Source organism: Homo sapiens, chromosome 21 (assembly GCF_000001405.40).
Source record: "Homo sapiens chromosome 21, GRCh38.p14 Primary Assembly".
Taxonomy (NCBI): domain Eukaryota; kingdom Metazoa; phylum Chordata; class Mammalia; order Primates; family Hominidae; genus Homo; species Homo sapiens.
The window spans coordinates 44,656,682-44,683,875 of record NC_000021.9 but is presented as its reverse complement, the minus strand read 5'-3'; the positions used below and the strand labels follow the sequence as shown (position 1 = coordinate 44,683,875).

Genomic DNA, 27,194 nt, shown 5'->3' with positions numbered 1-27,194 from the left:
TACTGAGATTCCCTATTTATCCATTCATGAAGACAATGTTTTCCTTTAATTATTTGAACAGTTTTCTTGGATTTTTTGGAAGATGTCTATAATAGCTGCTTACAGTCATCATTTGCCATGTCCAATATCTAGACCATATCAGGTTTATTTTTTTTAACAGTGAATTAAATTTACCTATATCTTTTAATATCTGATGATTTGTTTTTTGAGACGGGGTCTTGCTCTGTTGCCCTGGCTGGAATGCAGTGGTGTGATCATAACTCATGGCATCCTCAACCTCCCAGGCTCAATAGACCCTCCTGCCTCAACCTACCGTGTAGCTGGGACCACAAGCATGCACCACCATGTCTGGCTAATTTTTAACCATTTTTTTGTAGAGACAGAGTCTCACTATGTTGCCCAGGCTGGTCTGAAACTCCTAGCCTCAAGCAATCTTCCCATCTTGGTCTCCCAAAGTGCTGGGATTACAGGCATAAACAACCGTGCCTGGTCAATATCTGATGATTTTGATTGTGTATGAGGTATCATAATAATGCATTTACAGACTCTGAGCTGTATCATGTTTCTGATTTTTGTTCTAGCCGTCAGTTACTGGAGAATGACCTTAATCTTGTGCAGTTTTTGTTCAACACTTTGCTAGGGTGGATCTCTGGGAAGCATCTACAACTTGGAACACTCTGTATCTTGGTGGGACTCACATTCCAAACTGTCTTCCCTAAAAATCCTATTCTGAATTGGTTTAGGCTTTGTTCGGGCTGGCCTAGGCGGGTCTCACTGTAGTCTGTGGTCCTTACTCATTTGGTGCCGGGCTGTAGGGGGTCTCGGCTGGATGTCGACGTGGGGACTGGAGGGGGGCTTCACTCTCAATCCTCTAGCAGCTTCTCTCTGGTGAGCCTGTGGTTGCCTTGCCCTGGGAATGCACAGCCCTGCCCCGTTCCACAGATTCACAGTCAGCTTCCACAGTGTGGGGCCTGCTCTCCACACGGATCCTTCTTTCCGCTTCTCTGCTCCTCGGACTCCAGGGCTTCAGCTGCTTGAGCGCTGGCCCCTTCCTCCTCGGCAGAGTTGGGTCACTGTATTCTGCTCTGACTCCGGCTGGTGACACTGCATTTTGGAAGGTGACACTGCATTTTGGAAGCCTGCCCCAGCAGAGAGCTGGGAAATGGGAGTTTATCTCCTAAGTTTCTTCTCTCTCAGGAAGCACAGTCTGCACTGCTGGTTGACGGCTGCCTGAAAACGAGCATCTCCTAAATCTCAACTGTATAGTTGATAGAGTAGCCAGCTTTGCATCACTCACTCCAGCAGGTTCCCCAGTATGATTTCATTGTCTATATTCAGTTCTGGTCTCTTCCCCAAAGTTTCTGGTTGATGCAACAGAAGTTGCGGTTCGAGGAGCTCTTTTGGGTACCACTCATGTCTGCTTCAGCGTAGAACTAACGAAGGGAGGCAGATATCAGGCAGGTGGAGCTAAAACTGCCTGTGCATCACTGATAAATTTGGGCAGGTTTCCAAATGTAACAAGAGCTTGAAGAGGGTGCAATTAGTCACGAAACAAAGGGCCAGATAAAAAACATCATCTACGACAGAAAACTGAGTTCCAGGAAACAGCCTTGAGGAAGAAAAACAAGGAAGACAACAGGTGTGTGCTTCTGTGCTGTGGGGATGCCTGGGTCCAGGTATAAAGGCTACCCAGGGAGGCCATCCCCAGACATCACTGCCCTCTGCCTCGACCTTATCCAGCCACACGCCACCATGTGCCACACCAGCTGCTCCTCGGGCTGCCAGCCAGCCTGCTGCGCGCCCAGCCCCTGCCAGGCATCCTGTTACATCCCCGTGGGCTGCCAGTCCTCCGTGTGCGTGCCCGTGAGCTTCAAGCCAGCCGTGTGTGTGCCCGTGAGATGCCAGTCCTCTGTGTGCGTGCCCGTGAGCTGCAGGCCCGTCGTGTATGCGGCTCCCTCCTGCCAGTCCTCTGGGTGCTGCCAGCCTTCCTGCACCAGCGTCCTCTGCAGACCCATCTCCTGCAGCACCCCTTCCTGCTGCTGAGCATGAATCTCCAGACCCGCTGCTCCCAGTGCAGATGAGGCCACACCTGTACACTCCCTGGATGAGTCCTCAGTTGGTCTTCTGCACATGGTGCAGGTGAAAAGCATGCTCAGTGAACCCTCTGAATTCTGGATCGAGAATATAATAGAATGATCTGGAGCCCTGGCTGAACTTGCCTATCCCCCCAGGGAAGTCTGGGGTCCCAGAGTCATTCTCTGACCCCATGAGAGTCAAATAAACCAGCTTTCCCCATGCAACTCTGCGTTTCTTGTCTCTCTTTTTTATTTCTATACTCCCCGCTATCTATTCTGCTGATTACATAGAATTTGCTGCTAAACCCTCTTCAGTGATCCCTTCACCCAGTGCTCATCAGAAGGTGGTGTCCCGGGTGGAGGGCGCGGCTGCAGATGCCCATGTGGTCTCTCCCAGGGCTCCTGGGGCCCAGCTGCAGTGGCCACAGCGGTGACTTACCCGCCTGTGGTGGAGTGGCCTCGCTTCCCCACTGGCTGTCCACTCCTGCTCCAGGCCAGCAAGCCCTGCATTGATGGCCAAAGCCTCAGAGCACTGAGGATCGGGCTTTCCCATGTGGTTGGTGGATGTCCTGCTTCCCGGGTCGCGGAGGATCTCAGGTTTACAGAACTGGATTAGTTCTGCAGCACACACTCCCATCACTGATCTACATATGGCACTTTTTAAAAATTGATACATAATATGTTTACATATTTATGGGGCATATGAAATACTTTACACACAGAGGATACGTAATGATGAAATCAGGATATTCATCACCTTGTCTATCATTTCTCTGTGTTGAGGACATTTTACACTCTCTCTTCTAGCTGATTTGAGACATACAATACATTGTTAACTGTAGTCACCCTATGCTGCTATCAAATATTAGAACTTATTCTTTCTGTGTAACTGTATGTTTGTACCCATTAACCAAACTCACTTCTCCTCTAACACACACCGTTCTTCACCTCTGGTAATATCATTCTACTCTCTACTTCCATGAGATCAACTTTGTGAACTCCCACATGTGAGTGAGAACATGTAATATTTGTCTTTAATGACCTTCGGTTCCATCCATGTTGCTGCAAATGGCAGGACTTCATTCTTTTTTATGGCCGAATAAGATTCCATTGTAAATATATACCACAGTTTCTTGATTCATTTATTTATTGATAGACATTTAGGTTGAATCTGTATCTTGGCTATTGTGAATAGTGCTGCAATAAACATGGGGGTGCAGGTATCTTTTTGATACACCAATTCCCTATCCTTTGAATAAATAGTAGCAGGATTGCTGGATAGTATGGTAGTTTTATTTTAGTTTTCTGAGAAATCTGTATACCGTTTTTGATAATGGCTGTACTAATTTACACTTCCACAAATGATGTATAAGAGTTCCCTTTTCTCCACATCTTTACCAGCATCTGTTATTTTTTGTCTTTTTGATAATAGCCATTCTAATTGGGGTAAGATGATGCTATCTCATTGTAGTTTTGATCTGAAGTTCCCTGATGATTAGTGATGTTGAGTTTTTTTTAATATACCTGTTGGCCATTTGTATGTCTTCTTTTGAGAGATGCCTATTCAGGTGCTTTGCCCATTTATTAATGGAATTATTTGTTTTGTTGTTGTTGTTGAGTTGTTTGAGTTCCTTACATATTCTGGATATTAGTCACTTGTCAGATGCATAGTTTACAAATATTTTCTCCCATTACACAGGTTGTCTCTTCACTCTGTTGATTGTTCCGTTTGCTGTGCAGAGCTTTTCAGTTTAATATAATCTCATTTGTCTATTTTGGTTTTTGTTGCCTGTGTTTTTGTAGTCTTAGCCATAAACTGTTTGCCTAGACCAATGTCCTGGAGCATTTCATTTATGTTTTCTTCTAGTAGCTTTATGGTTTTCGGTCTTATGTTTAAGGCTTTGATACATCTTGAGTTGATTTCTGTATATGATGAGAGGTAGGGATCCAGTTTCATTCTTCTGCATGTGGCTATCCAGTTTTCCCAGCACCATTTATTGAAGGGGTGTCCTTTCTCTATTGTATGTTCTTGGCACCTTTGTTGAAAATCAATTGGCTGTAAATATATGGATTTATTTCTGGGTTCTCTATTCTGTTCCATTGATCTATGTGTCTGGTTTTATACCAATACTATGCTGTTTAGCCTTGTAATATATTTTGAAGTCAAGCGGTGTGATACCTACAGGTTTGTTCTTTTTGTTCAGGATAACTTTGGCTATTCAGGGTCCTTTTTGGTTCCATATGAATTTTAGGACTGTTTTTTCTACTTCTGTGAAACATGTCATTGGCATTTTGATAGAGATTGCATTGAGTCTGTTGATTGCTTTGGATAGTATGATCTTTCTAACAATATCATTTCTTCTGATCCATGAACATGGAATGTCTTTCCATTTGTTTGTGTCTTCTTCAATTTATTTTATCAGTGTTTTGTAGTTTTCTTTGCAGAGGTCTTTCACATCCTTGGTTATATTTATTGCCAGGTATTTTATTTTTAAAATAGCTATTGTGAATGAGATTGTGTTCCATGGGCAGGTCTATGCAAACCTACCCCCAAAGTTCAAGGAAGCTGAGAGGCCACAGAAAGAGGCTGACAAATCCAGTTTCTCAGAAAGAAACATTTAATAAGGACTTAAAACAGAAGCCATGTCTGTGTCTTGGGTGGTGGTAAGATAAGCTGGTGGATCCCTGTGCCATTACCCCTCCAGACCCAAGGCTTATATACCATAAGGAAAGGGTATATGTGATTTAGAAGGGCTCTGTAGACCAATTGAAGTAGGATAACGTCAAGGTTGTTTTGAAGCAGGATTTATAGTATGTGCTCTTATACAAGGAACAGTAGATAAACTGGAAATTTTAGAGGCCTTCCCAGAACAGGTTAACTAGAAGTCCATATGGCAGATTAGCATCCAAGATGGAGTTGTTTTAGCCTTCATGGATTGCCTTTTTGCTTACTTTTTCAGCTAGTTTGTTATTGGTGTATCGAAACACTACTGATTTTTATATGTTGATTTTGTATCCTGCAACTTTACTAAATTTGTTTATCAGTTCTAATAGTTTTTTGGTGGAGTCTTTAGATTTTTCTAAATATAAAATCATGTCATGTGCAAAGAGGGACAATTTGACTTCCTCTCTTCCAATTGGGACAGCTTTTATTTCTATCTCTTACCTGATTACACTGGATTGGACTTCCAGTACTATGTTGAATAGGTGTATTAGTCCATTCTTACATTGCTATAAAGATACCTGAGACTGGGTAATTTATAAAGAAAAGAGGTTTAATTGGCTTATGGTTCTGCAGGCTATACAGGAACCATAGAGGCTTCTGCTTCTAGGGAGGCCTCAGGAAGCTTACAGTCATGGCAGAAGGCAAAAGGGGCACCAGTGCTTCACATTCTGGAGCAGTGTGGGTGGGGTGAGGATGCCACACACTTTTAAACAACCAGATCTCACAAGAACTGATTATCATGACAATACCACCAAGAGGGATGGTGTTAAACCATTCATGAGAAATGGCCCTCATGATCAAATCACCTCCTACCAGGCTCCACCTCCAGCGCTGGGGATTACATTTCAAGTTTGGGTGGGGACACAGATCCAAACCATATCAATAGGAGTGATAAAAATAGGCATCCTTGACATATGTACACATGCCTCCACTTACTCGTGCCGCCATGGCAGCTCCCGCATCCACCAGCAGCACCGTCCGCTCGACAGATACTGCGGGCCTGTCAGTTATCGAGTGTGACCGCTGTGGCCCAGAGTTGTCTCTATGGGAAGTTAGTCCTCCGTCCACTGTGACCATGCCGCCGATACTCTACTTCAGGCAGCTCTGTGGTTGACTACTGGCAACATTGCTGGAGCTGGCCTTTTGTTTTTTGGTGGAGGTATTGGTGGCACTATCCTATATGCCAAATGGGCTTCCCATTTCCGAGAAAGAGTAGAGAAAACCATACCTTACTCAGACAAACTCTTCGAGGTGGTTCTTGGTTCTGCACCTTATAATGTTCCATTGCCAAAGAAATCAACTCAGTCTGGTCCACTAAAAATCTCTAGTGTATCAGAAGTAACAAAAGAATTTAAACAGCCTGCCTCACAACTCCAAAAACAAAAGGGAGATACTCCAGCTTCAGCAACCGCAGGTGATACAGTGTTGGTCCCTGGGGTTCAGCATGAGGAATCTTTAAAAACTGATCACCCTGCAATTGATGAAGGAAAACCCACACCTGCACTTTCAGAAGAAGCATCCTCATCTTCTATAAGGGAACGACCATGTGAAGAAATTGCAGCTTGCCTTGCACAAGAGGAAAAACAAGAACAAGTTAAAACTGAGTCTCTAGCCAAGAGCTTTGAAGATGCTCTGAGGCAAACTGCAAATGTCACTCTGCAGGCGATTGCAGCTCAGAACACTGTGGTCCAGGCTGTCAATGCACACTCCAACATATTGAAAGCCGCCATGGACAATTCTGAGATTGAGGGCAAGAAGAAGTCTGCTAAGTGGCACACAGTGCAAGGTGCGTTGAAGGAACACAGAAAGGCAGTAGATGAAGCTGCCAATGCCCTTCTCAAAGCCAAAGAAGAGGTAGAGAAGATGAAAAGTGTGACTGAAAATGCAAAGAAAGAAGAGGTTGCTGGGGCCAAGCCTCATATAAACTTCACAACATGATAGTTGATCTGGATAATGTGGTCAAAAAGGTCCAAGCAGCTCAATTTGAGTCTAAGCTTGTATCTCAGTATCATGAGCTGGTGGGCCAAGCTCAGGATGACTTTAAACGACAGCTGGACAGTATTACTCCAGAAGTCCTTCCTGGGTGGAAAGGAATGAGCGTTTCGGACCCAGCTGACAAGCTCTCTACTGATGATCTGAACTCCCTGATTGCCCGTGCACATCGTCACATCGATCAGCTGAACAGAGAGCTAGCAGAACAGAAGGCCACAGAAAAGCAGCACATCACATTAGCCTTGGAGAAACAAACGCTGGAAGAAAAGTGGGCATTTGACTCTGTAGTAGCAAAAGCATTAGAACATCATGGAAGTAAAATGCAGGCTGAATAGGACAGAAACGTAGAGGAAGTCAGAGATGCCATGGAGAATGAAATGAGAACCTAGCTTCACTGACAGGCAGCTGCCCACACTGATCACTTGTGAGATGTCCTTAGGGTTCAAGAACAGGAATTGAAGTATGAATTTGAGCAGAACCTGTCTGAGAAACTCTCGGAACAAGAATTACAGTTTCATCATCTAAGTCAAGAGCAAGTTCACAACTTTACTCTGGATATAAATACCGCCTATGCCAGACTCAGAGGAATCGAACACGCTGTTCAGAGTCATGCAGTTGCTGAAGAGGAAGCCAGAAAAGCCTACCAACTCTGGCTTTCAGTGGAGGCATTAAAGTACAGCATGAAGACCTCATCTGCAGAAATGCCTGCTGTCCCACTGGGTAGTGCAGTTGAGGCCATCAAAGCCAACTGTTCTGATAATGAATTTACTAAAGCTTTAGCCACAGCTATCCCTCCAGAGTCCCTGACCCATGGGGTGTACAGTGAAGAGACCCTTAGAGTCCGCTTTTATGCTGTTCAAAAACTGGCCCGAAGGGTAGCAATGATTGATTAAACCAGAAATAGCTTGTACCAGTACTTCTTCTCCTACCTGCAGTCCCTGCTTCTATTCCCGCCTCAGCAACTGAAGCTGCAGAGCTCTGATCTGAAGATATAAACACGTTTAAATTACTGTCATATGCCTCCTATTGCATTGAGCATGGTGATCTGGAGCTAGTAGCAAAATTTGTCAATCAGCTGAAGGGAGAATCCAGATAAGTGGCACAAGACTGGCTGAAGGAAGCCCGAATAACCCTAGAAACGAAACAGATAATGGAAATCCTGACAGCATATGCCAGCGCCGTAGGCACAAGAACCACTCAAGTACAGCCAGAGTAAGGTCTAGGAAGATTTTCGTAAAGTCGTATTTCATGTCAAGGAAATCAGCAGTGATACATGAAGGGTTTGCCGCAAGGGTCCCAGAATTGTCTAGACATGAGCAGGCTTACAAGTACTGTTCTAAATGTTAACACCTGTTGCATTTATATTCTTTCCACTTGCTATCATGTCAGTGAACTCCAGGAGTGCTTTCTTTGCAACTCGTGTAACATTTTCTGTTTTTCGGATTTTACTGATCAGACTTGTGAGGCCAATCAAAATAATGTTTGTGATCTCTACTACTGTTGATTTTGCCCTCGGAGCAAACTGAATAAACAAGATGAAAACTGAAAAAAAAAAATGCATCCTTGTCTCATTCAGTTCTTACAAGAAAGGCTTTCAGCTTTTTTCCATTTAATATGATGTTAGCTGTGGGTCTGTCATACATGGCCTTTATTATTTTGAGGTATGTTTCTTCTGTACATGGTTTGTTGAGAGTTTTTATCATGAAGGATATTGAATTTTGTCAAATGCTTTTTCTGCATCTATTGAGATGCTCATATACTTTCTGTCCTTCATTCTGTTAATGTGATATATCATGTTTATTGATTTGTGTATGTTGAATCACCCTTGCATCTGTATGATAATTTCCACTTGATCATGGTATATTATCTTTTCGATGGGCTGCTGGATTCAGTTTGCTAGTATTTTGTTGAGGAGTTTTGCATCTATGTTCATTGGGGATATTGGTCTGTACTTTTCTTTTTTTACTGTATTTTTGTCTGCTTTCGGTATCAAGGTAATTCTGGCCTCATAGAGTGAGTTAAGAAGAGTTCCCTCCTCTTCAATTTTTTGGAACAATTTGAGGAGAATTAGTGTTGGTTCTTCATGTGTTTGGTATAATTTGGCAGTGAAGCCATTCAGGCCTGGGCTCTTCTTTGCTGGGAGACTTTTTATTACTGATTCAATCTGGTTATTCATTATTGGTCTATTCAGGTTTTCTTTTTTTTTTTAATTCAATCTTGGTAGGTTGTGTATGTCCAGGAAATTATCATTTCCTCTAGGTTTACCAGTTTTTAGAGCATAGTCTCTGGTAATGTTATACACACACACACACACACACACACACACACACACACACACACACACACACACACTTTAAAGACAGAGTCTCCCTTTGTCACCCAGGCTGGAGTGCAATGACCCAGTCGTGGTGTGGTCATGGCTCACCACAGCCTCCACCTCCTGGGCTCAGGTGATCTTCCCACCTCAGCCTTCTCAGCATCTGAGACTACAGGCATGTGCCACCATAACTAGCTAATTTTTGTATTTTTTATAGAGTTGGGTGTTTGCCATGTTGCCCGGGCTGGTCTCAAACTCTTGGGCTCAAGTGATCCACCTGCCTTGGCCTCCCAAAGTGCTAGGATTACAGACATGAGTCACCGTGCCCAGCCAGATGATCTTTTGTATTTCCATGGTATCAGTTGTAATGTCTCCTTTTTCATTTCTGATTTTGTGTATTGGGGTCTTCTTTCTTTTTTGCTTGGTTAGCCTAGCTAGCTGTTTATTGATTTTTTTTTATCTTTTTAAAAGACCAACTTTTTGTTTTGTTACTTCTTTGTATTTTTTTAAAGTCTATTTTGTTTAGCTATATACTTTATTGTCTCTTTCCTTCTACTAATTTTGGATTTGGTTTGTTCTTGCCTTTCTAGTTCCTTGAGGTGCATCATTGGATTGTTTATTTGAAATCTTTCTACTTTTTTTTTTTTTGAGATGGAGTCTTACTGTGTTGCTCAGACTGGCCTTAAACTCCTGGGCTCAAGTGATCATCTCACCTCAACCTCCCTAGCAGCTGGGACTATAGGCACCACCACATCTACCTTTTTGATGTAGGCATTTATTACTACTAACGTCCCTCTTAGCACTGTTATTTTTGTAGCCTATAGGTTTTGATATGTCGTGTTTCCCTTTTTATTTTTTTTTGAGAAATTTTTTGATTTCCTTATTAATGTCTTCATTAACCCAGTAGCCATTTAGGAACATGTTGTTCAATTTCCACATATTTGTACAGTTTCCAAAGCTCTTCTTGTTATTAATATCTAGTTTTAGTTATTGTGGTCTGAGAAGATACTTGATATTATTTTGATTTTTTAAAGTTAGTTGAGACTTGTTTTGTGGCCAAACATAGGGTCTGTCCTGAATAATGTTCCATGTGCTTATGAGAAGAATGTGTATTCTGCAGCTGTTAGATGAAATGTTCTTTAAATGCCTATTAGGTCCATTTGCTTTAAAGTTCAGTATAAATCCAATTTTTTTGTTGTTGTTGATTTTCTGTCTGGATGATATGTCTAATGGTGAGAGTGGGGTGTTGAAGTCCTCAACTATTATTGTATTGGAGTCTGTCTCTTCCTTTAGATCTAATAATATTTGCTTGTATATCAGACTCTTTTGGTATTGGGTGCATATAGATTTAGAATTGTAATATTCTCTTAAGAATTTCCTGTATGGCTGGTCCAGTGGTGATGAATACCCTCAGCTTTTGATTGTCCATGAAAGATTTTATTTCTGTTTATTTATGGAGGATAATTTTGCTGAGTATAGTATCCTTGTCTGTCAGTTTCTTTCTTTCAGCACTTTGAATATATCATCCCATTCTGTCCTGACCTGTAAGGTTTCTGCTGAGAAATCCACTGTTAGTCTGATGGGGGTTTCCTTATATATGACTAGTTGCTTTCTTCTTGCTATTTTTAGAATTCTCTCCTTGTCTTTGACTTTTGACAGTTTGACTATAATGTGCCATGGAAAAGATCTTTTTGAATTGTATCTATTTGGGGATCTGTATTAGTACGTTCTTGCATTGCTATAAAGAACTACCTGAGACTGGGTAATTTATAAAGAAAAGAGGATTAATTGGCTCATGGTTCTGCAGGCTGTACAAGGAGCGTGGGTTGGGAAGCCTCAGGAAACTTATAATTAATGCAAAAGGCAAATGGGAAGCTGGAATGTCCTACATGGCTGGAGCAGGAGGAAGAGAGAAAAGGGGGAGGTGCTACACATATTTAAACAACCAGATCTCGTGAGAACTCACTATCAGGAGAACTGCAAGGGGGAAATCTGCCCCCATGATCCAATCCCCTCCCCCTCAGCCCCTTCTCCAGCATTGAGGATAACAATTCAACACGAGATTTGGGCAGAGATAGAAATCCAAACCATATCAGGATCTCTGAGCTTCCTGCATCTGAATGTTTAAATCTCTTGCTAGACTAGGGAAATTTTCACCTATCATTTTGCTAAATAGGTTTTCTTTTTTTTTTGTTTTGAGACGGAGTTTTGCTCTATCGCCCAGCCTGCAGTGCAGTGGCGCCATCTCTGCTCACTGCAAGCTCCGCCTCCCAGGTTCACGCCATTTTCCTGTCTCAGCCTCCCGAGTAGCTGGGACTACAGGCACCTGCCACCACGCCCGGCTAATTTTTTGTATTTTTAGTAGAGACGGGGTTTCACCGTGTTAGCCAGGATGGTCTCAATCTCCTGACCTTGTGATCCGCCCGCCTTAGCCTCCCAAAGTGCTGGGATTACAGGCGTGAGCCACTGTGCCTGGCCTATTTTGCTAAATAGGCTTTCTATGCCTTTGGGCTTCTCTTTGTTTTCTGGAACATCCAATATTAGAATATTTGCTCACTTTATAGTGTTCCATATGTTACATAGGCTTTGTTTATTCTTCTTTTTTTCTTTTTGTCTGACTGAGTTGTTTCAAAAGACCAGTCTTCAACTTCTGAAATTTTTTCTTCTGCTTGATCTGGTATATTGTTGAAGCTCTCAAATGGATTTTTTATTTCATGTATTGAATTATTCATTTCCAGGATTTCTGTTGGATTCTTTGGTTATGATATCTGTCTCTTTGGTGATTTTCTCATTCATATCCTGAACTGTTTTTCTGGTTTATTTGTATAGTTTATCCATGTTATCTTATATCTCACAGAATATCCTTAATATCATTATTTTGAATTATTTTTCTGGTAATTCATACATTTCTTTTTCATTTGAATCTGTTGCACAATTCTTGTGTCCCTTTGGAGGTGTGACATTTCCTTGTTTTTTCATGTTTCTTGAGTCCTTATATTGATATCTGCACATCTGACATAACAATCACTTCTTCCAATTTTGGGGACTGGCTTTTTTATGAGAAGACTTTTTCCTGCAGATGTGTCTATGGCGGTGGCTGGTTGGAATACTTTAGCTATGATTCTGGGTGCATGCAGTAGTTTAGTCTCTGTATGATTTCTTTGGCTGTGAACAGCATCACTAGTGTTTGTGATTTCCTCAGCAGCTTGGCTGTGGTTGTCAGTGGAGGCTGTGGTGAGGCTTTTCTGGGGTCAGAAACACCAGGTTGGCCAAATCTCAGGCCCCAGTGGTGGCAGCAGTGGGCCAAATGTGCCTGTCCTTAGGCCCCTGAGTAGCATATGCTGGCACTGGTGTTACCATGTCCAGGCAGGCTGATTCTTGGGCCTCCAGACAGCTTGCTTATGTGCTAGCAGTGGCAGCAGTGGGTTGGATGCATGGATGGGTCCTTGGGCCGCTGGGCAGTGTGCCTGACATGGATGATGGTAGTAGCAATGGTGGGACAGCCTTTGGGCTCTCAGACAGCACTTCCTAATATAAGTGGTGGTTGTGACAGGCTGGGCAAGCCAGTCCCCAAGCTCCCAGGTGGCACATGCAAGTGAGCGCTGGTGGTAGTGGCATGCTGGGTGGGCACATCCTCAGGTCCCTGGGAGGAGTGCATAGATGGCTGGCATTGGTAGAATGGGTTGGGGGGGACCACCAGGCCCCCAGATGGTATGCTTGGGCACTGAGGGTGCAGTGCCAGGCCACACAGTGTGCATGGACACAGGCTATGGTGAATAGTGTGGGGTAATTTATGATGGTGGGTGGGGAAAGCCTGTACTCAGGGTACATGCAAGTTCATGAACCCCTGCCTTATTGATGCATCCAGCTGGTATTGCACTCCTGCAGCCCTCTTGGGTTGGTGGGGGTTGTGGGATTCGGCAGAGCTGAAGGGATGTGGAGATACAAGATCTGTTGGGCCCCAGGGCAGGATGCAGACTTTTAGGGGCTGGGCTCTCAAAATGGCACCATGCTACAGCTGCTCAGGACCTGGTGGGTGTGTGAGACCCAGTGTGGGCTCTTTCTCTGGAGCAATGCCATTATGTGGCATCCTGGCAAATCCCTATGTAAGTCTCAGGGCATGTGAAGAATAAGAGGCTCTCCCATGGCTAGGGTTTCAGGTCCATGCTGAATCCATGGTGGAAATGTAGACAGCTGGGAATCTCTCATTTACCATTTCCCTGGACTGGGGAGTCTCTGTGGGCTCCCGACTGATTCTAGCTGGGCCAGCTGCCTCCCTTCCCTTGCCTTCTGTGCCTCAGATATTTCCTGTCGCTTCTTTGCTGAATTCCAGTTGCTTCTTTGCTGAATTCCAGTGTCTCTCTCAGATGTCCCATTCAAAATGTTGTTACCTCTCACTCTTTTGGGTTCTTTGTGGAAGAGGCAAGTGTCAGGTGCCTCTAGTCAGCCCTCTTGAGCCTGCCCACTTTTTACTGATTGATCAATTATTAATGATTATAACAACCCCCCCACCTATGAACCATGAACCCACTACCTGACACAGAAACTAGAACATCATCAATAATTTACCATGAACTTCTTGGGGCAGCCACTGTTGGGATTATGTGCCCTTTATTCTGTTACTTTCTAGAAAAAATAGAGTTGAGTCATATCTCTTTGTATTCCTGAAATGTGTGTTTTCTAATTTAGTGGTTTTGAATGATATTAAAAGGGAATTATTCTGAGTAATCTTCTGAGACTTATGTCTCCCACTCTGTACAGAGTTGCTAAGGGTCCTCTGCATTTCTTGTGGGTGTATTCTGTATTCAGCGTGCCTCCTTCCTGGGGTTCTGCTGTTTCTACTTCAGGTTAAATGCCCCCCAGTAGATGGGCAGGCCTGTTGTTCCCAAGAGTCTGCTATTACAGATGGTGCTGATATAAACATTTGCAAACCTATTCCACAATTTGTTTGTTAGTGTTCTGGGGGTAGGACCTCTGGGGGTGGGACTGCTGGGGCAAAGGGCATCCGGATGTTCATCCCAACAAGGCACGCCACCTCCTGCGGGTGATCCGTAAGCCGAGGAGGAGAATGGTGGGAATACTGGGATGGCTGTTGCCAGTAGCAATGGAGTGTGCTGGAACCTGATGTCATGGTCTCGGTTTTCAGCCTGGCAGCCTCAGTCCAGGCTCCAGGCTCCTTAGTCCATACTGCAGGCACACAGCTAGCCTCTCTTTAACTGAAAGTACAGCCCTCCAACCCCTCACCCTTGCCCCCTTGATGCTGAGGGGTGGAGGAGGCTCTGTGTTTGTAGCTTTGTGTTTTAGGGGAGAATGCCCAGTGCTTTATTTTTTTATTTAATTTTTTTTGAGATGGAGTCCTGCTCTGTCACAGGCTGGAGTGCAGTGGTGCAATCTCACCTCACTGCAAACTCCACCTCCCGGGTTCAAGTGATTCTCCTGCCTCAGCCTCCCAAGTAGCTGGGACTACAGGCACGTGCCACCACACCCAGCTAATTTTTGTATTTTTAGTAGAGGCGGGGTTGCACCATGTTAGCCAGGATGGTCTCGATCTCTTGACCTCATGATCCAGCCGCCTTGCCCTCCCAAAGTGCTGGGATTACAGGCGTGAGCCACCTGAGTTTGATATTACATATATGTGATGCTGTTTAATGATGTCTCACAGGCTCTTTTCATTTTTCTTAATTCTTTTTCTTCCTCTCCTTCATTTTGGATAATTTCTATTGATGTGCTTCAAGTTCATGAACTCTTCTTCAATCTCATTCTATATTTACGTCTATCATGTGGATTTTAAAATATCAGCTATTGTACATTTTAGTTCTAGCATTCCCATTTAAAAAATAGTTTCAATTTCCCTACTGAGATTCTCTATCTTTGATCTTGAGTTAATTTTGTATATGGTGTGAGGTAAGGGTTAAAAATAATCTTTTGTGTGTGGATATCCTGTTTTCCCACTGCCATTTGTTAAAAAGTCTGTTCTTCCCTCACTGAAAGGTCTTGACAGCCTTGCCGAAAATTATTTGACTGTAGTTGTGAGAGTTTATTTCTGGGCTCTCTATGCTATTCCATTAGTCTATATATTGGTCTTTATGCCAGTACCACAGTTTTGATTAGTGTAGCTTTGTAGTAAGTTTTGAAATCAGAAAGTGTGACTCCTCCAGCTCTATTCTTTTCTTAAGATTGATTTGGCTATTTAGGGTCCCTTGAGACTCCACATAAACTTTAGGATGGGTTTTTCTATTTCTGCAAGAAATGTCCTTGGGATTTTGACAGGGATTGCATTGAATCTGTAGATTGCTTTGGTTAGTATGGACATATTAACAATATTAATTTCCAATTCATGAACATGGGATGTGTTTCCATTTATTTCTGTTGCCTTTAATTTCTTTCAACGTTTTGTAGTTTTTGTTACACAATTATTTTAATTCTTTGGTTAACTCCTGAGTATTTTGTTCTTTTTAATGTATTGTAAATGGAATTGTTATTGTACTTTCCTTTTGAGATTATGCTTGTTAGTTTATGGAAATAGAACTGATTTTTGTGTTTTGCTTTTGTATCCTGCTACTTTGCTGAATTCATTTATTCTAAAATTTTTGTGTGTGGAATATTTAGAGTTTTCTACATATAAAAATCATGTCATCTGTGAACACAGCTAACTTTACTTCTTGCTTTTCAATTTGGATGCTTTTTGTTTCTTTCTTTCTTCCTTTTAAAAACAATTGCCTAGTTGCTCTTAGTAAAACTTCTAGTACTATGCTGGCTTTGTTCCCAATATTAGAGAAAAAGCCTTCAGTTTTTCACCAGTGGGTATGAGGCTTGCTGTGGGTCTTTCATGTATGGCTTGTATTGTGTTGAGGTAGTTTTCTTCTATTCTTAGTTTGTTGATTGTTGTCATCATGAAAGAATCTTGAATTTTGTGAAATGCCTTTTCTATATCAATTGAGATGATCACGTGGTTTTTTCCTTCATTCTGTTATCATGATGCCAAGTTCCAAGTGATCTGGTGTTGACATCTGTAGGCTCAGAGATTCTACTGTCCCTGCAGTACAGGGTGCACATGGCTTTCTGCTGAACATACCCAGAAGTCATTCTGGCCCTTGGAACCTTCTATATTCAGCTCACACATATCCTGCTGTGGCTGTCCATGGGACCCTTCACTGGCCTCACATGCTTCCCTGGGAACATGCTTGGACCAGCTTGATTTCCTTAGAGCTGTGTCTCCATGCATGAGGGCCAGTGGTGTTGTCTCATCTTGGTTCTTAACTAGGAGGATTTCTCAAGACAAAGATCCATGGTCACCACTCACAAGAAGTTCTCTGTGACCCACACCCTTTGTCCCCACTCATCCTATGGACAAGTGATTTCCATGTTCTTCCTCCATCTGCTAGCTCTCATCCAGCTCTAAGCTCTCAGGACACCCACAGATCAGCTAGACACGTCCTGTTCTACCTCACATTGACTGTGGAGCCTTCCTGAGCCATGAGAGGAGTGTAAACTTCTGTGGTTTAAGGACCATCATCACACAGAGAGGAAAAAAATCTGGAGATCTGAGTTTTTGGAATCTCACAAAAGTAACTCAGGTAAAATTTTAAAGAACAAGGAAGAATCTTGATGAAGCCAGTAAAACACTCTGGCAGGTTTCCAAGCATACCAAGAGTTCGAAGAAGGTGCAATTAGTCATGAAGCTAAGGGCCAAACAAAACCCAGAGACACCTACAACAGAAAATTAAGCTCCAGGAGACAGCACTGAGGAAGAAAAACAAGGAAGACAGGTGTGCTTCTGTGCTGTGGGGATGCCTGGGCCCAGGTATAAAGGCTGCCCAGGGAGGCCGTCCCCAGACATCACTGCCCTCTGCCTCGACCTTATCCAGCCACACGCCACCATGTGTCATACCAGCTGCTCCTCGGGCTGCCAGCCAGCCTGCTGCGCGCCCAGCCCCTGCCAGCCAGCCTGTTGTGTGCCCAGCTCCTGCCAGGCATCCTGCTGTGTGCCTGTGGGCTGCCAGTCCTCCGTGTGTGTGCCCGTGAGCTTCAAGCCAGCCGTGTGCCTGCCCGTGAGCTGCCAGTCTTCTGTGTGTGTGCCCATGAGCTTCAAGTCAGCTGTGTGCGTGCCCGTGAGCTGCCAGTCTTCTGTGTGTGTGCCTGTGAGCTGCAGGCCCATTGTGTGTGCAGCCCCCTCCTGCCAGTCCTCCCTGTGCGTGCCTGTGAGCTGCAGGCCTGTCGTGTATGCGGCTCCGTCCTGCCAGTCCTCTGGGTGCTGCCAGCCCTCCTGCACCAGCGTCCTCTGCAGACCCATCTCCTACAGTATCTCTTCCTGCTGCTGAGCATGAATCTCCAGACCCGCTGCTCCCAGTGCAGATGAGGCCACACCTGTACACTCCCTGGATGAGTCCTCAGTTGGTCTTCTGCACATGGTGCAGGTGAAAAGCATGCTCAGTTGAACCCTCTGAATTCTGGATTGAGAATGTGACAGAATGATCTGGAGCCCTTGCTGACCTTGCCCATCCCCCCAGGGAAGTCTGGGGTCCCAGAGTCATTCTCTGACCCCATGAGAGCCAAATAAACCAGCTTTCCCCATGCAGCTCTGCATTTCTGGTCTTTCTTTTTTATTTCCATACTCCCTGCTATCTATTCTGCTGATTACATAGAATTTGCTGCTAAACCCTCTTCAGTGATCCCTTCACCCAGTGCTCATCAGAAGGTGGTGTCCCGGGTGGAGGGCGCAGCTGCAGATGCCCATGTGGTCTCTCCCAGGGCTCCTGGGGCCCAGGTGCAGTGGCCACAGAAGTGACTTACCCGCCTGTGGTAGAGTGGTCTCGCTTCCCCACTGGCTGTCCACTCCTGCTCCAGGCCAACAAGCCCTGCACTGATGGCCAAAGCCTCAGAGCATTGACAATTGGGTTTTCTGATGTGGTTGGTGGACGTCCTGTTTCCCAGGTCGCGGAGGATCTCAAGTTTACAGAACTGGATTAGTTCTGCGGCACACACTCCCATCACTGGTCCACAAAGGCTTGGTTTTTATTGATTGACTGATGATCAATTACTGAGGATCCTAATATAATAAACCCGCATGAACCCACTGCCTGACATAGAAATGAGAACATCATCAATAATTTACCAAGAACTTCTTGGGGCAGCCACTGTTGGGATTGTGTGCTCCTTATTCTGTTACTTTCTAGAAAAAATAGAGTTGAGTCATATCTCTATGTATTCCTGAAATGGGTGTTTTCTAATTTAGTAATTTCTGGTGATATGAAAAGGAAATTATTCAGAATGTAATCTGGAACTTGCTTTTCCCAGTCTGCGTTGTGCTGGTAGCATTCTTCTGCATTTCCCCTGTCTGGGCTGTATTCCCCTCCTGGGGGGCTCTGCTGTGACTGTCTCAGGTTAAACGTTCCCCAGTAGATGGGCCAGCCCTCTTGCCCCAGGAGTCTGCTATTCCAGATAGCATAGCCCAGAACTGTCCCCTGAAGAACGTTCTCACTACTGGCTGCCTTCGATTCCAAGATTTTTATTTGCCTTGGAGGCAAGTGTTGAGTTTAGGGTTAAAAAACTGGTTTCATCATCTTTTAGGCAAGGTGGTCAGGGACCTATTGTGTAGTTTAAACTGGGAGGCTTTGGATAAAACTGAGTGAGAAATGGAACCAATCAACCCAGACATATAAATGCTTGCAGCCGAACACATTCGAATCCATGAACACACCCAATGTGTGCACTATACAACGTGCACACACTTATGCACACACGTAAGCACTCTGGTCCCCCAGGCTGGGAGTTAGAGGTCAAACTGGAAATCAGAGCATGAGAGGAGGGAGGGTTGGTAACCAAAAAATGCTTCTGGAGAACCTACCTGCCCTGTGCACAGAGAAGCATGGATGAGGCCTGGCTCAGCCCCCGCCCTCTGGAGCTGTGGCCCTCAGGGCCACTTGGAGCCCAAGTTCTGTGATGCTAGTGCTCCACATGGGGCATTTGTTAGCAAGTCCAGGTTTTTGCATGGACGTATTTGTTTCTTTCTCTTGGGTAAATGTCTAGGAGTGGAATAGCTGGGTCATATGCTAAGTATCTTTTTGCCAACACCATCCTGCCCTGATAAATGCAGCTTTATAGTAGGTCTTGAAATCAGCTAGTGTGAGTTCTCCAATTTTGTTCTTCTTTTAAGAAGTTGTTTAGGCTACTCTAGTTTCTTTGTCTTTCCATATAGATATTTGAATAAGCTTATCAATATCTACAGAATTTGTGCTGAGATTTTGATTGGGAGTGTATTGAAACTATATAGATCAATTTGGGGAGAGTCGACATATCCAGCAATCCATAACATGGTCTATTTATTTAGGTTTTCTCTGATTCTTCTCATCAATATTTTGTAGTTTTCAATGTATACATTTTATATATTTCCCCCAGAATTTATCCCTAAGTATTTTATAAGTTTAATGCTATTATGGTACTATTTTTAAGTTTCAATTTCTGATTGTTCATTGCTAGTATATTAAAATAAAATCGATTTTTGTATATTGGCATTTTTTCTTTGACCTTGTTAAATTCACTTACTAGTTCTTGTAGCTTTATTGTAGAATTTTGGGGATTTTCTAGGTAGACAATAATGTAATATGTTAATAGAGACTGTGTTATTTCTTTCTTTCCAGGCTGCATGCTTTTTACTTCACTGTTTAGGAAGTCCAGTATGGTAATAAATAGCAGAGGCAAAAGTGAATGTTCTTGCTTTGTTGTTGATTTTAAGGGGAAAGCATATAGTCTTTCATCATTAAGTATGATATTAGCTATAGGTTTTTCATAGATGCTCTTTAAAAGAAGTTCCTTTTAATTTCTAGTTTGCTAGCAGTTTTTATTCTGAATGGATGTTGAATTTTGTCAAAAGCCTTTTCTGAATCTATTGAGATAATAATATGGTGCTTCCTCTTTAGTCTGTTGATATGGTGAATTATAAGTTGATTTTTTAACACTGAACCAACCTTGCATTCTTGGGATAAATCTCACATGATCACGACCTTTTATCTCTTTTACATATTTCTGGATTTAATTTGCTAGTATTTGGTTGAGAATTTTGCATCTATATTCATAAGAGATATTATTAATAGTATATAGTTTTCTATATACTATGTACTATAATACTTTTGTTCAAATTTGATATCAAGATTATGCTGGCTCTATGAATTTAATCGGGAATGATTCCTTTCCTTCTATTTTCTGGAAGAGTTCATGTAGAATTGGTTATATTTCCTCTTTAAATGTTTGGTAGAATTTTCCAGGGAGGCCATTTGCCCCTAGTTTTATTTGTTGAAAGATTTTAACTGAAAATTCAACTTCTTTAATAGATATGATACTATTCAGGCTACCTACTTCTCTGGAATAAGCTTTCATACTTTTGTCTTTTAAAAATGTGCCAGTTTTATGTATGTTATCAAATTTAATGGTATGAAGTTGTTTACATCATTCCTGTATCATGTTTTTAATAATTGTAAGATTTGTAATGATGTCTCTTCTTCACTCCTAATATTGCTATTTTGTGTCTTTTTTTTTCTTTTTATTATAATTTTACCGCTCAGTCTGGCTAGATGCTTATTCATTTCATTGTTCTTTTCAAAGAAGCAGCTTTTGCTTTCATTGAATTCTTTTCCATTTTCTACTTCATTTTTTTTTTCAGATTTTTAATTATTTCATTTCTTTTGCTAATTTTGAGTTTAATTTTCTTTTTTTCTTTAAAGTGCAAACTTAGATAATTGATTTCAGGACTTTCTTCTTTGTGAATATAAGCACTTAATGATATAATTTTATCCCTCTAAACACTATTTTAGCCATGTTCCATATATTTTGACATGTTGTCTTTTAATTTGTATTTAATTCAAAATATTTTCTAAATTCTCTTGTGATTCTTCTTTGAACCATGGGTTATTTAGAAGTGTGTCGGTTACTTTACAGTTCTGCAGGGTGTTTCTCGCTATCCTTTTGGTGTTAATGTCTAATTGAATTTCTTTGTGGTCAGAGAACATACATTGTATTAGTTCAACTTTTTTACATGGGTTGAAGTTTATTTTATGGCACAATATAGTCTTTTTGGTGAATGTTTCATGTGCTTGAAAAGAATGTGTATCTGTTATTGTTGGGTGGAGTGTTCTGTCAATATCCATTAGGTCAAGTTGATTGACAGTGTTGTCCAGGCCTTCTGTATCCTTCCTGATTTTCTGTCTACTTGTTCTCTTGAAGCTGAAGTCCAATGACAAATCTGATTTATCTGTTTTTCCTTTCCCTTCTCAGTTTTTTTGTTGCATGTGTTTGGAAAGTTGGCTGTTTGGTGCTTACACATTTAGAATTGTTACGTGTCCATGGTGAATTGATGCTTTATCATTATGTAATATTCCTTTTTATCCTTGGTAATATTTCTTTTGTGAAGTTGACTTTGATATTAATATAGCCATTCCAATTTTACTTGATTAATGTTTGTGTGGTGTATTTTTCCATCTGTTTACTTTTAACCTATCTATGTTTTTTATATTTAATGTGAGTCTTCTGGTAGATAGAATATAGTTGGGTCCTGAATTATTTAATCCAATTAAAAATCTCTGTTTTTTGGTTTTGGTGTTTAGATGATTTGCATTTAATTTAATTTAATAAATTAATTTGCATTTAATTTAATATTAGCAAAATATCACTTTGCTAATTGTATTCTATTTGTTCCATCTGTTCCTTTTTATCTTTGCCCTCTTTCTATGCCACTTTTTGGTTTAGTATTCTTAGTTATTCCCTTTTATATCTACTTTTTGTATACATCTTGATATAGTTTGGATTTGTGTCCCCGCCCAAATCTCATGTTGAATTGTAATCTCCAGTGTTGGAGGTGGGGCCTGGTGGGAGGTGATTGGATCACGGGGGTGGATTTCTCATGAATGGTTAAGCGTCATCCCCTTGGTGCTGTCCTTGCGACAGTGAGTGAGTTCTTGGGAGACCTGGTTGTTTAAAGGCGTGTGGCCCCTCCCCCAGCCCCGTCTTTCTCTCCTGCTCCTGCTCTGGCCACGTGATGTGCCTGCTCCCCCTTCACCTTCCACAGTGCTTGTAAGTTTCCTCACAATTCTGCCTCCCCAGAAGCTGAGCAGATGCCAGTATTATGCTTCCTGTACAGCTTGCAGAACTGTGAGCCAATTAAACCTCCTTTCTTTATAAATTACCCAGTCTCAGGTATTTCCTTATAGCAAGGCGATAATAGCCTAATACGTCCTTTCAAACTTATTTGGCCTAAGAGTTACAATACATACCTTTACTGTAACAAAGGATACCTCCGGGTAATATGACGCCACTTCATCTGTAAGTGGCAGGACTTTACGGCAGTGTACCTCCATGTCCTCTTTTATATTCCTCGTGTTATTGTTGCCATGTTTTACTTTTACTTATGTTAAAAACCCCACAATGCACTGTCACTATTTTTGCTCTGGACAGTCAATTAGTTATAATGCTTTTTTTTTTTTTTTTTTTTTTGAGACGGAGTCTCACTCTGTGTCACCCAGCCTGGAGTGCAGTGGCGCGATCTCGGCTCACTGCAGGCTCCGCCTCCGCCTCTGGGGTTCACGCCATTCTCCTGCCGCAGCCTCCCGAGTAGCTGGGACTACAGGCGCCCGCCACCACACCCGGCTAATTTTTTGTATTTTTAGTAGAGACGGGTTTCACCGTGTTAGCCAGGATGGTCTCGATCTGCTTGCCTCGGCCTCCCAAAGTGCTGGGATTACAGGCGTGAGCCACCGCGCCCGGCCTATTTATATTTATCTTCTTTTAAAATAATTTCTAGAGCTCTTCTTTTCTTTCTTTTCTTTTTGTTCCCAGGACAGAGTGCAGTGGTGCGATCTTGGCTCACTGCAACCTCTGCCTCCCGGGTTCAAGCAATTCTCCTGCCTCAGCCTCCTGAGTAGCTGGGATTACAGGGGCCCACCACCATGCCTGGCTGATTTTTGTATTTTTAGTAGGGATGGGGTTTCACCATGTTGGCCAGGCTGGCCTCAAACTCCTGACCTCAGGTGATCCACCCACCTCGGCCTCCCAAAGTGCTGGGATTACAGACATGAATCACGGCACCCAGCCAAGAGGTGGTCTTTTCTTTGTGTGGATTCAAGTGTCTCTCTGCTATCATATTCCTTGGCTCAAAGAAATTTTTTAAGAATTTCTTATAGTGCACGTGTGCTGTTAATGAAGTCTTTTCAGTTTTTGTTCATCTGAAAAAGTGTTTTCTTTCATTTTTGAAAGACACTTTTAGTGTCATAGGGTCGACGGATTTTCTTTCAGTATTTTAAAGATGTACTTTCGGTCCTGTGATTTCTGATTAGAAGTCTGATGTAAACTCTACCTTTGTCCTTATGCTCGTAGTCTGCTTTTAAAATATTGATGCTTTCAAGATTTCCCTTTTTACCTTTGGTTTTTGTCAGTCACAGATTTAATGTGACATGTCTAGTCATTTGTGGTGGGGATATAGTTACCCAATTTGGGGTTCTCCGAACTTTTTGGATATGGGACTTTATGTATTTCATTATTTTTAGAATATTTCTCAACTATTACCTCTTTAAATATTTCTTCTGCCCTGCCCTCTCTTTCTTCTCTTTGAGGGACTCCAATTACATCCATAAATGAGGATTTGATGTTTTGCTCTTGTCTCCCTCCACCCTTCTCTTTCTCTTTCTCTTTGTGTTTTAATTTGGTCAATTTACATTTACACGTTTTCAAATTCAAAGCTTCCACACCTGGTTGTATCAAGTATACTGATGAACCCACTGAAGGAAGCCATCTGTGATACCGTATTTTGATTTTTACCATATCCACTTGACCTTTCTTATAGTTTCCATTTCTCTGCTGAAATTACCCATCTGTTCATTTATGTTTTTAATGCTTTACTCTTGATCTTTTAATCTATTCATTATAGTTATTGTAAAGTTTATACCTGATAGCTCTAACACCTGTGTGATTTTACTTTCTACTTTCTGTTTTTAGAGATAGTGTCTTGCTCTTTTACCCAGGCTGGAGTGCAGTGGTGCAATCTCAGCTCACTGCAGCCTCGAACCACCAGGCTCAAACGACTCTCCAGCCTCAGCCTCCCAATGTGCTGGGGTTACAGGGGTGAACTGTGCCCAGCCCCTGGGTCACTTTTGAATCCAGTTTTATTGATTTCTTTGTCTCCCAACAATGGCTTGGTTTTTCCTTGCTTTTTTGCATATCTTATAATTTTTTATTGAATATCAGACATCATCAGTTCCTTCTGGAAATGCGTGCGTCTCTTTTCCTGTCAGGCCATTAGTGTGTGGGGGGAGGTGGATGAGTCAATCTGGTCAGACACTGACCGTGGTTTGGGTTTTGTTGTTACTGTGGTTACCTTCAGTGCACCAACCGCTTGTGCTTAGGGTGTATCAGTGCTTGTGCTTAGGGTGTATCAGTGCTTGTGCTTAGGGTGTATCAGTGCTTGTGCTTAGGGTGTATCATCAGTGCTTGTGCTTAGGATGAGGGGTGGGGAGGTCAGCGCTTTTGCTCCACCCTAAGTTTCACACGCCCCTGCATGCCTGACGTTCAGAGGAGATCTCTACACACTTCTGCCTTTCCCCAGAGGCAGGCTGACGTTGCTTATTGAGCTGTGCCTGCTAGGCTGGAGCTGGAGAAAGGAGGGCTCTCTGTTGTCCTGGTCCAGTGTCAGTCTTAGGCAGGCCCTTTGCATGTGGGACTTGGAGAATGAGACTTTCTTCGACTTCCTGCTACCCCTCCCGGGGTAGACGAACTCTGCTCTGTATTTGTGGTGGGTGTTGTTTGAAAGAGTTTCCTGCCCTCTTTGCCACAGTAATCCTTTGAGGTATTGCATGGGATCTGGGGCCCAGGACTATTTCTTGTCCATCCTTCTGGGTAGAGGATTGTTTTCTTCTACCCTCCCCCAACACGCTCCATCTGGAAGCTTCTTCTCTGGTGGTCTTTATACCCGGGTCCCAGGCATCTGGGTAACATAAAAACGCAAGAGTTGTCTTCCTCATGGTGGTTTCCACTGTGTTTCCCAACATCTTATTACCCCACAGTGCAAGGCTTGGGGAGGGAGTCGGGGGACAGAACCTTCAGGCCACTCCCCCAACCAAGGACCCTCCACTTCAGCTCAGCCATCAGGAAGGTGGCTCTCTGAAGAGGTGCTGCTGCCATTGAAGTTGGTATGTACCTTCAAGGAAAGAACTTACGAAATACATGAAGATAAAAGAGAGAGACGAGGTGTATAGGGACAGCCGATTTATTTGGCTCACATGGGTTTTAGTTTCCTGCTGGAGTGAGAGAAGGACTCTGGCAGCCAAGACTTCCTTGAGGGGGTTCCCAGGGTCATGGAAGGTCTGAATCATTTTTCCACGTTCTCACCCCAGAGTTCAGAGGTTTCCTTGGGCATGCTTTTCATCTGCCCTATGTGTGCAATCTGGGGGTCCACCAGATGCTTATTCACGGAGGGATACAGGTGTGTACCCCCGTGTACCAGGAGCAGCTGGTCAGCAGCAGGAAGGGGTGCTGCAGGAGATGGGTCTGCAGAGGGCAGTGGTGCAGGGGGGCTGGCAGCACCCCGAAGATTGGCAAGAGGGAGTCACATATATGATGGGCCTGCAGCTCACGGGCACGCACACGGAGGGCTGGCAGGAGGGAGCCACGCACACAATGCGCGTGCAGCTCACGGGCATGCACACGGAGGACTGGCAGCTCACGGGCACATAGCAGGATGCCTGGCAGGGGCTGTGTATGCAGCAGGTTGGCTGGCAGGCTGGGGAGCAGCTGGTGTGGCACATGGTGGCGTGTGGCTGGGCTGGTACTGGGGAGGAGGATGGTGATGTCTGGAAGCTGCTTCTCTGGTGGTCTTTATACCTGGGTCCTGTCATCTGGGTAACACAAAAACACAACTGTTGTCTTCCTTGTGGTTGTTTCCACTGTGTTTCCCAACATCTTATTTTCCCGCGTGTACTTTCCCGCGTCATGCTCCACCATAAATAGCTTCGGCCTTGAGGTTAGTTTCTTCTGTAAACAGGATGTTCTGGTTTGACGTTATGCAGGTTTTTTGTCAATTTTTTTCAGGCTACTACCGTGCACATAGCACCACTGGCTCGACTCAAAGTACCGAATCCCGTTGTTTCACTTTTGTTTCATGCTATCAAGGAAGATGTTGAGGCAATAATGTATTTTGAGCTTTAATTTTGTAGAGTAAAACTTTAAAGCATAGGTTGGCAAACTATCGTCTGTGAGCCACATTTGGCCCACTGCCTGTTTTTCAAATGAACTCTTATTGGATCACAGCATGTCATTAGTTTATGTGTTGTCTGTGGCTTCTTTTGCACTATAGTGGCACAACTGAATAGTTATGGAAGAGACTGTAACATGCAAAGGCTAAAATATTTGCTGTCTGCCCTTTACAGAAAGTTAGCCAACCCTGCCATAGAGTAATCTATACAAGAAGTTATTTGTTAATGCAACAAATATATATTGTGTACCAGCAGCAACGAGGTCTTGGCCTCAAGAGCATTCTAGCAGTGGGCAATGAATAAATGAGTAAAGGAAGAAATGAATGCATGAAATAATTCCATACAGGGCTGAGTGCTGGGGAAAATGGGTTCAGGAGATAGTAATGGGGGTGCTGGTGGGTGGTCTGGGGGGCGTCTGTGAGGAGACAATGTGGCCATGGAGAGAGTGAGGATGCTGCTTCAGAAACTGGTATGTCCAGGGGAGGCAGGAATCCTGTACTCTGGGTGTTGGGCCATGGGTGCAGGTGAACTGGTCAGATCATGAGGACCCAAGAACCAAGCATCAGAATCCCATGCTGGGGGGGTCTGGGATTTGGGGTTAGGAGTCAGATGGAAAAAGAATCAGTGAACCTGAAGACACACCAGTAGAAATTATCTTGTCTCAAGAAGAGGAGAAAGAATCTAGAAAAATGAAAAGACATATGAGACAGTACTGAACTGTCTAACATACTAGTAGTTTGAACCTTGGAAAGAGAAGAGAGCGATACTGAACCATAAATAAGTTTCAAAAAAATAATGGCCCAAGGCACCAAATATGATTTAAAAAATAACAACTTACAGACCCAAGAATC

General features: G+C 43.1%; 4 protein-coding genes and 1 pseudogene across 5 annotated transcripts in view, besides 1 other annotated feature; 4 read left to right on the top strand and 1 right to left on the bottom strand.

Moving 5' to 3' along the window:
- Positions 1–27,194, top strand: part of TSPEAR (thrombospondin type laminin G domain and EAR repeats) — a 213,680-nt gene that overhangs the window by 27,697 nt on the left and 158,789 nt on the right. The window lies entirely within an intron of this gene.
- KRTAP12-1 (keratin associated protein 12-1) lies at positions 1,713–2,300 on the top strand. Its single transcript, NM_181686.2, has one exon. The coding sequence runs from the start codon at positions 1,753–1,755 to the stop codon at positions 2,041–2,043; it is 291 nt and encodes a 96-aa protein (NP_859014.1). The 5' UTR covers positions 1,713–1,752; the 3' UTR covers positions 2,044–2,300.
- Positions 5,711–8,348, top strand: IMMTP1 (inner membrane mitochondrial protein pseudogene 1; annotated as a pseudogene).
- Positions 16,949–17,687, top strand: KRTAP12-2 (keratin associated protein 12-2). The gene has a single exon (NM_181684.3). It carries the CDS (start codon positions 16,990–16,992, stop codon positions 17,428–17,430), a length of 441 nt encoding a protein of 146 aa, NP_859012.1. The 5' UTR covers positions 16,949–16,989; the 3' UTR covers positions 17,431–17,687.
- Positions 25,311–26,282: an enhancer, noted in NCBI's record as "H3K27ac-H3K4me1 hESC enhancer chr21:46077511-46078482 (GRCh37/hg19 assembly coordinates)". NCBI's record gives its function as "activates a minimal SCP1, AML or CMV promoter by ChIP-STARR-seq in naive H9 embryonic stem cells {active_cell/tissue: H9 hESC(naive)}" and the evidence as "EXISTENCE:reporter gene assay evidence [ECO:0000049][PMID:30033119]".
- Positions 25,535–25,944, bottom strand: KRTAP12-3 (keratin associated protein 12-3). Its single transcript, NM_198697.2, has one exon. The coding sequence runs from the start codon at positions 25,894–25,896 to the stop codon at positions 25,606–25,608; it is 291 nt and encodes a 96-aa protein (NP_941970.2). The 5' UTR covers positions 25,897–25,944; the 3' UTR covers positions 25,535–25,605.

What these genes read in the sequence shown, in the direction of transcription:
- KRTAP12-1 (NM_181686.2), top strand. Translation starts at nt 1,753, where the DNA reads ATGTGCCACACCAGCTGCTCCTCGGGCTGCCAGCCAGCCTGCTGCGCG.
- KRTAP12-2 (NM_181684.3), top strand. Translation starts at nt 16,990, where the DNA reads ATGTGTCATACCAGCTGCTCCTCGGGCTGCCAGCCAGCCTGCTGCGCG.
- KRTAP12-3 (NM_198697.2), bottom strand. Translation starts at nt 25,896, where the DNA reads ATGTGCCACACCAGCTGCTCCCCAGCCTGCCAGCCAACCTGCTGCATA.